A 12,023-nucleotide genomic window follows, 5' to 3' on the forward strand; every position below is an offset into this window, starting at 1 on the left:
GAGTCCTCATCAGGTCTCTTACAAAGCAGCTTTTCTTTAGATCTACTAAATTAGAAACTTTTTGAGAGCAGAAAGTGTCCTTGCCATCTCTGTATCTTTCAGTGTATTAGGACGTGCTTGCTTCAATAAAGTTTAACTTTTCTTTTTTTGGTAGATCTTCTCAGAATATACTTAAATATACTAATATTAACTGTAAAAAGCCCAAGACAGCAATACAGCACACCAAGTTTCAATGACATTTGAAAGAGAGGGTGCCCTCTTTTATATTTTTTAACAGATAAATTGATGATACTAGTGTTTCCTACAAATACAGCTCCAGAAATGACTTTACAAAGATCTGAATCATCAAATTGTATCTCTGGCAATGCTAGACTTCTAAATACACCATTTCCCATTTCTCATCACTGGTAAAATAAAGTATTGGTTCCCTATCTTTGTAATGTCATCTTTGTAAATATTTACAAAGAAAGAAACTTATTCACAAACCCTAAGCACCTAGAATTTTGCATTTTTACAGGCATTTCCCATTTGCCTTAATTTCTAGTAAAGGAATAGTAAATGACCCCACTTGTGTTTATATAAAAACCAATTTAGATGTTAATTCAAGTATCTTTGTGAGAAATTGAGAATTCAAATAACAGATATTTACTACAGTTACATAAAATTAATTTTTAAAATTTCCAAGATTTAAAATAGAATCAAGACACCTCTTTAAAAAAATACTAGGCTATGGGAAGCACTATCAATTTTAATAAAAGCTAAAATGCCAGTAACAGATCTATTTGTTTATTACCTTTCACTGCCAGATCAATGGTTGGTGAGATGCACTGGCAAAAATGATATGAGGCTGATGTGTATCTTTTTTTCATTTGCCAATCAATTTTCTTCATATCAAGATATACCAAAAATGTTTGACTACATTTTTTGAAGTATTTCATTTAAAAAAAAATCAAATCGACTATCGAAAATACACCCAATCCTTCAGATTAACTTTAAGTGTATGTTCCAATTCTTAACACTAAATTTATGGGTTATTAAATAATTACACTAAATTTGTTTGTTATTAAATAGCAACAGTGCTTCTGGTAAAAATGCAAGAACAAGAACCCTAAAATCTTCACTCTGGTGCCAAAAAGGAACTATTTCATAACACAATTCAGAGTGAGGTAGTCTCTACATAACGAGGTGTTTTCCCCATATTTACCACATCATTTATTTAATGTAGTCAAGTTTATGAAGCACTATGAAATTGCACAGCAAAGTGTTATATAAAATCCAAGATGCTATTATGTTAATATATATAAACAACAACCCTTCAAATACTACTACAAAAGTATCTTAAGTCTAACTTTGAGAATATTAAAACTAATGATTTTTAATGAAAACTTCAGTAGCATTTTAGACTCTTGAGTTATTTATTTCCCAAGTGCTTTACTGTAATGTTCAATAGCAACTAAAGTTCTTTAAACAATTTCATTAAGAAATTATCTTAACACCTCAGGAAACATATCACTTAGAACTGCTTATGTCTGTCTGTTCCTTTTTCCACTCTCCTAATCCTTTCCTTGCTATTATCTTTGGTTACATGACTATGGTTTCCGTAGTTTCTCCCAGCTTCCAGTATAGACTATACCAGTAGAAATCTTCAGATTAGAGTGGGAGAACCATGTTCTAGGAAGATTATTGACCATCTTACACCATTCTACCCTATATCCCTGCAATGGCCATAAGGGACTATAAAGAGATTATGGCCAGGCATGGTGGCTCTCATCTGTAATCCCAGCACTTTGGGAGGCCGAGGTGGGCGGATCACCTGAAATCAAGAGTTGGAGACCAGCCTGGCCAGCATGGCAAAACCCCATCTCTACTAAATATACAAAAACTAGCCAGACGTGGTGGCACGTGCCTGTAATTCTAGCTACTAGGGAGGCTGAGGCAGGAGAATCGCTTGAAATCAGGAGGCAGAGTGAGCCAAGATGGCGCCATTGCACTCCAGCCTGGGCGACAGAGCGAGACTCCATCTCCAAAAAAAAGAGAGAGAGAGAGAGATTATGAGTAAATTCTAGCTCTGCTGCTGATTCACTTCTTCTAATTATAGCCAAGTCCTCAAAAAATATATTAAAAGCAAATTAGTAGAAACATATTCTGAAATGTAACACAATTACTATGCTCAGGGAGATCAATTAATAACACTTCTCATAATTGTTTCTAAATCTCTGCTCTGCATCCCTTTAAGCAGAAGAATTCAGGAGACAAAACTATTAGTTTAACTGGTGAGGCTAACTTACCCCTAACAGAAAAACAGGTCATCAGCTTGCCATGCATAATGGCTGCTCAGGGAATAAAGATTTATGACACAGAAATAAGGTCACTTTGAAATATGCTTTTAGATTTAGATTTTGGCAAGGCTTCCAAATTTAAGAAAAAGACAAGGTGGTAGAGAGTTCTTATGAGGCTTATACAAGGAGATACTCAAATGGAATTGGGGAAAGCCATTCTGGGGCAAAGGTCTGTAGTCAATAGATACCTGAAACCTAACTCTGTACTTCCCTTTAGAGGAGGGATTCTTTCTGGGTCTATGGATGAGATTCAGGGAATTGGCGAAGCCTCTGAAATTTTAAGCCAAATGTCACATGCATGCACATATGTGCATTTTGCCTGGTGAAAGCATTCAGAGCTTTTGTAAAATCTCAGAGGCCCCTTGATTAAGAAAATTTAAGAGAAATACTGTACTTGATAGAGCCTTTGTAATAATGAATTCACTGCACAATGATATTCTCAATTCCCTTATATCTTAGGGTATTTTATAGTCTCCTGTAGTGAATGGAGCAGAATTCAATAAAAATGAAGTTCTTATGATTCATATAATACTGGGGGATTGCTAAAAATGTCCATGTATTTTAATTGCTATCGCTGGACCCAAGATGTCAGAAATCTTTAAACTTTTTATTATAGTATAACACATACGCAGAAAAGAACATTAATCAAAGGTGAACATTTTGTCAACATTTTTTAAATCTAGGAATTTAAACTGCTCATGAGAAGATGATGTACATAGCTGAGATCAAGAAACCACAAGAAGATCACATACAAGACTCACAAACTAAGCTTATGGATACATTTATAGGTTTGCCCCTCTAGTCTCTCCTAATGACACCTAAGCTACTTGTTATGGGATGTACATACACCCTTCCAGTGATAGAAGGGTGAGGAGTGAACTGAAAGCAGATTCAGAAAGATGTTTCATTGTATAAAGGAGCTTAAAGTACATGCAGATCTTTGTCCAAATTGAGCTGGGTTTGAGGATTAGGGCCGACTGAATCAATAAAGTTCATAAATATCTACAAGACAGAATAGTTTGTCTTCATCAGACACATAGCCCACCCGTCTTTATAACTACCAGTTCACTACATACAAGAACCTCAAATTATTATTATTCATCATTTGCTTAACAGTAAAATTTTTAGTTTTCCCTTTTAAAAACATATTTTTCAATTACTATAAAATGATATTTTATATCCTGCCCCTTACCTGCCCAAATCTAAACTGTACGTGAATGTGAAGATTTAAACCATATAAAATTTTTTAAATGATTCCATAAAATACTTCTACCTTTGCCCTGCACACTCCCACTGCATTATTTTATCAAAGACCATGTCTCAATTAACCACTATCTGACCCTTGTTCACTTTCTTCCCTCCCCTCCCCCTGCCAAAGTTTGCCCTTCCTGCCAAAGTTCAGCACTTCCTAGAAAAGTCTCACTGCCTGTTTGATATTGTACTTCACTTTAGTCACCAAAGGAAGAATTTGCAGGTGCTTGGCCCCATCTATAAGACCATGACCGAAATCTGACCTCCTGTTACAATACATGAACTCCTGACCTACTGATAAGGCTGGCAGATATAAGTAGGATTTTTCAAATAATCCTTTGGGAATTTATAAGCAGCAAAGCCATAAAAGGGGGGTGAGTGGAAGGTCGGTTTCACTAAAAATAATAAATATTGCCATGTTTATTCAAAGAGTGCCTTGTTATCCTCCAGGCCAAAAGTTCAGATAAACACTATTGTAAATGACAAAATATTAGAACTTTTTGTTACTTATGTTATGATCCTTCCGTTGGACACCAATAGAACTGTTTTCCCTCATATAGGTCCCAGCCCTGATATTGTGTAACAGTCCCCGTGACTAGAATACTGAATTCATCTGCAGGTCAAAAGGAGAGTAATTATCGTTCAAAATCAAAAACAAACATTTACTGATTATTACATACTACTAATACTAAGTGCTAAGTACTGGGACTAAAAAGAGGTGAATAAATATAATACCTGCCCTAAAAGAGCTTACAATCTATTGAGGAAAAACAACATATTTAGAATATGATGATATAATAAAGTTAAGCAGTAATATAAATATACACTGAATCCTATGTGAAGGAGTAGGGGGTCCACTGAGTTCAAGCTGAAACATTAGAAAAAACTGCTGGATGACACAAGTAAAAAATAAATAAGTGTGTGAACCCGGGAGGCGGAGCTTGCAGTGAGCCAAGATCGCGCCACTGCACTCCAACCTGGGCGACAGAGTGAGACGCTGTCTCAAAAAATAAAAATAAAAAAATTTAAATAAATAAGAACTAGTAAGATAAATGAGAATAGTAATTCAGGTAGAAGGGAAAGAATGAGAGGCATACATTCAAAGAACTGGAAGCATTTTAGTATCATTAAAGTAAAGTAAGAAAATATGGATGATAAGACATGGAAGACCGTCTATACTTTTATATACTATATTGTATTCTATACTTCTACATTTTACTCCACAGATAACCAATCACAGAATTGTAAGCAGCTAACATATATATCAGATTTGTATGTTGAATAGATTATTATGACTATAATGAGAACTGAGTTAAGGGCTTAAGATAATGGTAGGGAGACCAGATAAGGAGACGATTTTCAATAATTCTGATGAGAATCTGAACTAGGGCAATAATTTTAGGATAGGAAAAGATGAGATGGAGTAAAACTGTATTTAGGAAATAACATTTGGAGATTGGATGGTATTCAGAAAAACCCAAGAGTTTATGTTTCTGGCTGGTGACTACATAGATGATACTATTATCTGACATAACTAAAAATGCAGATGGGCAGGAGGGGCAAGACATAATGCCTTCATTTTAAAACACAGGGAGATACAGAGTTTATGCTGCCTGTGAATATCCGAAAGGTTCTGTTCACTAGGCAATACATATAAGTCCAAAGCTCAAGGGAAAGCTGAGGACTAAAGATATAGGTTTGGAAGTCATTAGGGTTCCAAATCATGAGAATAGAGTATATCATTCAAGAAAGGCAAGACACAAAGAAAAGTGGGACAAGGGTAAAACCCTGGGAACAATGAAGGACACTAAGAAGAAGAAAAGCTCACAAAGACCAAAACAGGCAACAAGTATCAGAAAGGCTGGTAGAGAATTAGAAAAACATACTGTAAAAGAAGACAGAGATTAAGAATTATAAGGCAAAAATGATCAACAAAGTTGGAGCCAAAAGGTCCAGGAAAATACAGTTTCAGGATAGTGCTAAGAACAGAAGATAAATATACAGGGTTGATGAGAGAATGAAAAGGGAAGAAGTAGAGACAAGCATTAGAATGTAAAGGAATGCGAGAGATATGGTTTATTTTCTCCTCAATCCCCGTTTCTCTATTCCTAAATCCTTTTTCTTAAGTTCCAACAGTAATATTAATTATATTACAAAATAAGAAAAAAAAATTACAAACATTTATATTAAGTAATCCATTTTTTAAAAGTCTTTGTAATTAATATTATGAGGAACTATCCTTTACCATGCAGTAATGCCAATTTGTGACTTGAGAATGGGATAACAAAGAAAGAGAGGTAACAAATTACAGCCCCAAAAAGGCTATGAAGAGTCAGCACTAGAAGTTATACATGCTTTGGTCCTTCCTTTTCTAATGGAGATATCTGAGTATTTATTTAAAGTCCCTATAGACCTAGAAAATCAATGTCCAGAAAATAAACATACATTCTCCAGAAAATAGAACTGAGTTTCTACCACTAACTGTACCTTTTCAAAACTAGGAACTACTGTGAATGGGAGAAGAGACCTGTTTCTGCCATATAATCAATGCCTTATTAATTGCTATAGAAAATTTATGAATATAAAATACTTCAACAGTAGGGAATATTACTGTGTATAATTTACTTTTAAATGGGCAGTTTAAGGTCTTCCTGCTTTTCTAGAGCTTTATCATCTCTAAATAATAACCAGTATGCCTTAGTTTCTACATAGCTTAGGACTACATATGGTCATCGTACAATTAAGAATATGTAAATTTTTAAAAATTTGTATATTGACGACAGAGACCAGAACCCCTATCTACATGTCTATAGTTTATGCCAAACACTTTTAAAAATACCAATACTGTGTCTAACCATTAGCATCAGAGATACATAACAATTACGAGATAACTGCCATTTATTTTTTTTTTATTTTTTTTTTTTTTTTTGAGACGGAGTCTCACCCTGTTGCCCAGGCTGAAGTGCAATGGCGCGATCTTGGATAACTGCCATTTATTAAATGACAATTATGCATGCAAGTGACTGAGTTAGGCACTATTTATTCAATTTATTAATTGTACTATGTAGGTAATTATTATCCTATTTCATGTATGAGAAAGGTAGCCTAACAACATACAACTAGTAAATGTGTGATTAAATTATTTCAATACTCATGAGTCACCACTGGAGTTCACTTGAGCAAAATCTGTCATATTTTAATATCATAAAATCCGGAGTCTCGCTCTGTCACCCAGGCTGCAGTGCAGTGGCGCGATCTCGGCTCACTGCAACCTCCGCATCCCGGGTTCAAGCGATTCTCCTGCCTCAGCCTCCCAAGTAGTTGGGATTACAGGTGTGTGCCACCACACCCAGCTAATTTTTGTATTTTTAGTAGAGACAGGGTTTCACCATGTTGGCCAGGATGGTCTCGATCTCTTGACCTTGTGATCCACCTGCCTCGGCCTCCTAAAGTGCTAGGATTACAGGCGTGAGCCACCGCACCTGGCAAACATAATAAAATCTTTTTTTTTTTTTGAGACGGAGTCTCGCTCTGTCCCCCAGGCTGGAGTGCAGTGGCGCGATCTCGGCTCACTGCAAGCTCCGCCTCCCGGGTTCACGCCATTCTCCTGCCTCAGCCTCACGAGTAGCTGGGACTACAGGCGCCCGCCACCACGCCCGGCTAATTTTTTTTTTGTATTTTTAGTAGAGATGGGGTTTCACCATGGTCTCGATCTCCTGACCTAGTGATCCGCCCGCCTCGGCCTCCCAAAGTGCTGGGATTACAGGCGTGAGCCACCGCGCCCGGCCATTAAAATCTTAATAGCTTATAAAAACTAGCATACACACAGTGATGAGATACAATGCGGTCATACTATAATCATTCAAAGAATGTAACTTCTCTCCTGGTGTAATGTAATCATATTAAAGCATAAGGCATTAACTTTTATACATCCTTGCTTCTCCAAATTGATTTCATGAAGAAGAGAAATTCAGTAAGTGTTTTTTTAAACAAGGAAACAAATAATAAGATTTGAGTTAACATATGTTCAAACAAATGTACTAGATTCTTTAGTTACCACTTATTTATTCATTCAACTATTTAATAATATTTACTGAGTACTTACCACATGCCAAGTAATGTTGGTACTGGCGGATATAACATTAAACAAAATAAACTAGCCATTTCACAGACCTTATGTTATTTGAGGGAAAAAAATTCATTAAATTTTTAATTATGAGGCTTACTCTTAACCTTAAAACTTGATGTGAATAAACATGATTATTTTTCTATAGACTATTGGCTTAATTACAACTGTGAACTCCCTTATCCAAACATACGATTGAAGAGAGTAAACAAAATAATGAAGCACAGAAACAAAATGTTAAGGAAGAAAGGAGTCAGTGTGTGGCAAAGGAAAAATGCATATTATTGCATGTGTGAGTTCTACACAACTTTCAAGGAACAGATAACTCTTATATAAGTTGTTTCATAAAATAGAAAAAAGGGGGAGATGTCCAACTAATTTTAATGAGGCTAAAACAACACTGACTTACAAATCATCTAAGGACAACACACCAAAAATGAAAATTTCAGGGCTGTATTACATATGGCCAAACCACAAACACAAAAATAAAAAATAAAGCAACAACAAAAAGGAGTTAAATTCTACAGGATGTTATAAAAGTAGTAACACATGCTCATCAAATTGAGTTTATCTAATAAACACAAGGATATTAATATCAAAAAAAATCTATCAATGAAATTCACCATATTCATAAACTAAAGAATAAATATATTAATATGTATAGAAAACTAATTCAATAAAATTCAACAGACATTTATGTTTTCTTAAAAGATTATCAAGAGTCTAGGAATAACTAAATAAAAATTATTTACCAAAAAGCTATATAATGATTAATCAATGAAAAAAGTCAGATATATTCTCTTTAAGATTAGAAATCAGACAAAGAGTCTTACTATCACCTTACTGAACAACAAAGCAATGATGATTCCAGTCAATACAGTAAGACAATAAAAAGAATAATGAGATATAGGAAAAAAAAGTCACTATCTACAGACAATATGATTGACTACACAGAAAACTTAGGAACCCAAATGACTATTAGAACCAATAAAAGAGTTGAGCAAGGTTTCTAGATGTGAGATCAACCTATAAAAATCAATAGTTTTCCTCAATATCAGCAATAACTAATTAGAAAATAAAGTAGAAAACCACAACAAAAACTAAGTATTTTGCTATTTATCTAACAAAGAATGCCCAAAACTATTAACATGAGGTTGGGGGAAAGCTCAATTAAATAATTTAAAAGATCTTCCTCTTCCATGACTGGGATGACTTAGCATTATGAAACTGTTAATTCTTCCAAAATGTAACTACAAATTCAATCAATTCAAATCAAAATTCTAGAAGGACTTTTTGAATAATCTCAAACTTACTATAACATATATATGGAAAAATAAAGATCTATAAATAGCTAATGCAATTTTAAAGAAGAGACATGAGAAGGGACTTATTTTATACCATCTATATTTTGATATATTATAAAATATAACAAAAAATGAGCTCAGAAACAGAACAATGTAAATATTGAAATTTAGTATATGCCAGAGGTACTACCAGAAATCACTAAGTGACATACAGATTATGTAGTAGATGGAATTGATAAAACTGAATTCATCATATGGAAAAAAATAAAGCCTCATATTATACAAGAGGTCTTAAAAAGTTCATGGAAAATGCATATTATAAAAACACTATGCAGGAATTTCAAAATATTTTACACCAAAATAAGCTTGTACTAACTTGTTATAATATGTCTGAACAGGATCTAGTTTGAGGCACTAAAAAGTATAAGACATCAATTTGAAAAGAGCCTCTATTGGAGCAACATGAATTCTGCTAAAATTGAAGCAAGCACAAATATCAAATTTATGGTAAAACTTGGGTAGAAGAATGGTGAAATCATTGAAGCTTTACAAAAAGTTTATAAAGACAATGCCCCAAAGAAATCAGCAGCTTATAAGTGGATATTTGTTTTAAGAAGGGATGAGACAATTTTGAAAATGAAGCCTGCAGTGACAGACCATTCACATCAATTTTTGAGAAAACAATCTTGTTTGTGCCCTAATTAAAGAGGACTGATAATTAACAGTACAAACAATAGCCAACACCATAGACATCTCAATAGCTTTAGATTACACAATTCTCCCTGAAAAATGGAAGTCAAGCAGACTTTCCACTCAATGCAAAACCACTGCACTCAGATCCGCTGCAGAAAAGAGCAGAGAACTTTCAATGGAAATTTTTAAAAAGTGGGGGATCAAGATCCTGAACCATTTATGATATGGTTTGGCTCTGTGTCCCCAACCAAATCTCACCTCAAATTGTAATCCCTATGTGTCAAGGGAGGGAAGTGATTAGATTATGGGGGCAGTTTCCCCCATGCTGTTCTCATGATAGTGAGTGAGTCTCACAAGATCTGATGGTTTTAAAATGGCAATTTTTCCTGTCCTCACATTCATTCTCTTTCCTGCCACCTTGTGAAGAAGTTGCCTGCTTCCCCTTCACCTTTCACCACAATTATAAGTTTCCTGAGGCTGCCTAGCCATGCTTCCTGTTAGGCCTGCAGCACTGTGAGTCAATTAAACCTCTTTTCTTTATAATTACCCAGTCTCAGGTAGTGTTCTTTTCTTGAGTGAGTTCACATTGCATATGTAAGTTCTACACAACTTTCTTTGTTTTTATTTTTTATTTTTTTATTATACTCTAAGTTCCAGGGTACATGTGCACAACATGCAGGTTTGTTACATAGCTATACACGTGCCATGTTGGTTTGCTGCACCCATCAACTCGTCATTTACATTAGGTATTTCTCCTAATGCTATCCCTCCCCCAGACCCCCAACCCCTGACAGGCCCCAGTGTGTGATGTTCCCCGCCCTGTGTCCATGTGTTCTCATTGTTCAACTCCCACCTATGAGTGAGAACATGTGGTGTTTGGTTTTCTGTCCTTGTGATAGTTTGCTTAGAATGACAGTTTCCAGCTTCATCCATGTCCCTGCAAAGGACATGAACTCATGCTTTTTTATGGCTGCATAGTATTCCATGGTGTATATGTGCCACATTTTCTTAACCCAGTCTATCATTGATGGACATTTGGGTTGTTTCCAAGTTTTTGCTATTGTGAACAGTGCCACAATAAACATACTTGTGCATATGTCTTTATAGTAGCATGATTTATAATCCTTTGGGTATATACCCAGTAATGGGATGGCTGGGTCAAATGGTATTTCTAGTTCTAGATCCTTAAGGAATTGCCACACTGTCTTCCCCAATGGTTGAACTAATTTACACTTCCACCAACAGTGTAAAAGCATTCCTATTTCTCCACATTCTCTCCAGCATCTGTTGTTTCCTGACTTTTTAATGATCACCATTCTAACTGGTGTGAGATGGTATCTCATTGTGGTTTTGATTTGCATTTCTCTGATGACCAGTGATGATGAGCATTTTTTCATATGTCTGTTGGCTGCATAAATGTCTTCTTTTCAGAAGTGTCTGTTCATATCCTTTGCCCACTTTTTATGGGGTTGTCTGTTTTTTTCTTATAAATTTAGTTTCTTTTGCTGGAGTTCCACACAACTTTCAAGGGACAGAGTGAGTCCCCAGCTTTGTTGCCCAGGCTGGAGTGCAGTAGCATGATCTCGGCTCACTACAACCTCCACATCCCAGATTCAAACAATTTTCCTGCCTCAGCCTCCTGAGTAGCTGGGATTACAGGCACCCAGCACCACGCCTGGCTAATTTTTGTATTTTTAGTAGAGACAGAGTTTCACCATGTTGCCAGGCTGGTCTCAAACTCCTGACCTCAAGCAATCCACCTGTCTCAGCCTCCCAAACTGCTGGGATTACAGGCATGAGCCACTGCACCCGGCCTCAGGCAGTGTTCTTTATAGCAGTGTGACAACAGACTAATACAGTTTCCTTGAAGAACTATAGCAGAAGAGAAACATGGCTTTCCCAGTACAATCCTGAAGACAAGGCACAATCAAAGCAATGGCTACTAAAAGATGAAAGTAGTCCAGTCAAAGCAAAAGCAGACCAGTCAAGAGCAAAGGTCGAGGCAACAGATTTTTGAAATGCTAAAGGCATTTTTCTTGTTGACTTTCTGGAAGGCCAAAGAACAATGACACCTGCTTGTTATGAGACTTTTAGCCAAAGCTCTAGAAGAGCTATGCCTGGGAAAGCTTCACTATACAGTCCTTCTCCACTACAGCAATGCTTCTGCTCATTCCCCTTATCAAATGAGGGCAATTTTGCCAGAGTTTCAATGGGAAATCATTAGACATTCACTTTATAGTCCTGATTTAGCTTCTTCTGACTTCTTTTTGTTTCCTATTTTTAAAAAGCCTTTAAAGAGCAACTATCTTT

At 35.7% G+C, this 12,023-nt stretch overlaps 1 protein-coding gene across 12 annotated transcripts in view, besides 1 other annotated feature; it reads right to left on the bottom strand.

Moving 5' to 3' along the window:
* The window catches only part of EXOC6B (exocyst complex component 6B), a 650,050-nt gene that overhangs the window by 368,434 nt on the left and 269,593 nt on the right, over positions 1–12,023 (bottom strand). The gene's annotated exons all lie outside the window — the stretch shown is intronic.
* Positions 1,593–1,834: a silencer, noted in NCBI's record as "fragment chr2:72773139-72773380 (GRCh37/hg19 assembly coordinates)". NCBI's record gives its function as "represses an EF-1alpha promoter that drives an FKBP-Casp9 reporter gene in an ReSE screen in HepG2 liver carcinoma cells {active_cell/tissue: HepG2}" and the evidence as "EXISTENCE:reporter gene assay evidence [ECO:0000049][PMID:32094911]".

This window comes from Homo sapiens, chromosome 2, assembly GCF_000001405.40.
Source record: "Homo sapiens chromosome 2, GRCh38.p14 Primary Assembly".
NCBI classification, from domain to species: domain Eukaryota; kingdom Metazoa; phylum Chordata; class Mammalia; order Primates; family Hominidae; genus Homo; species Homo sapiens.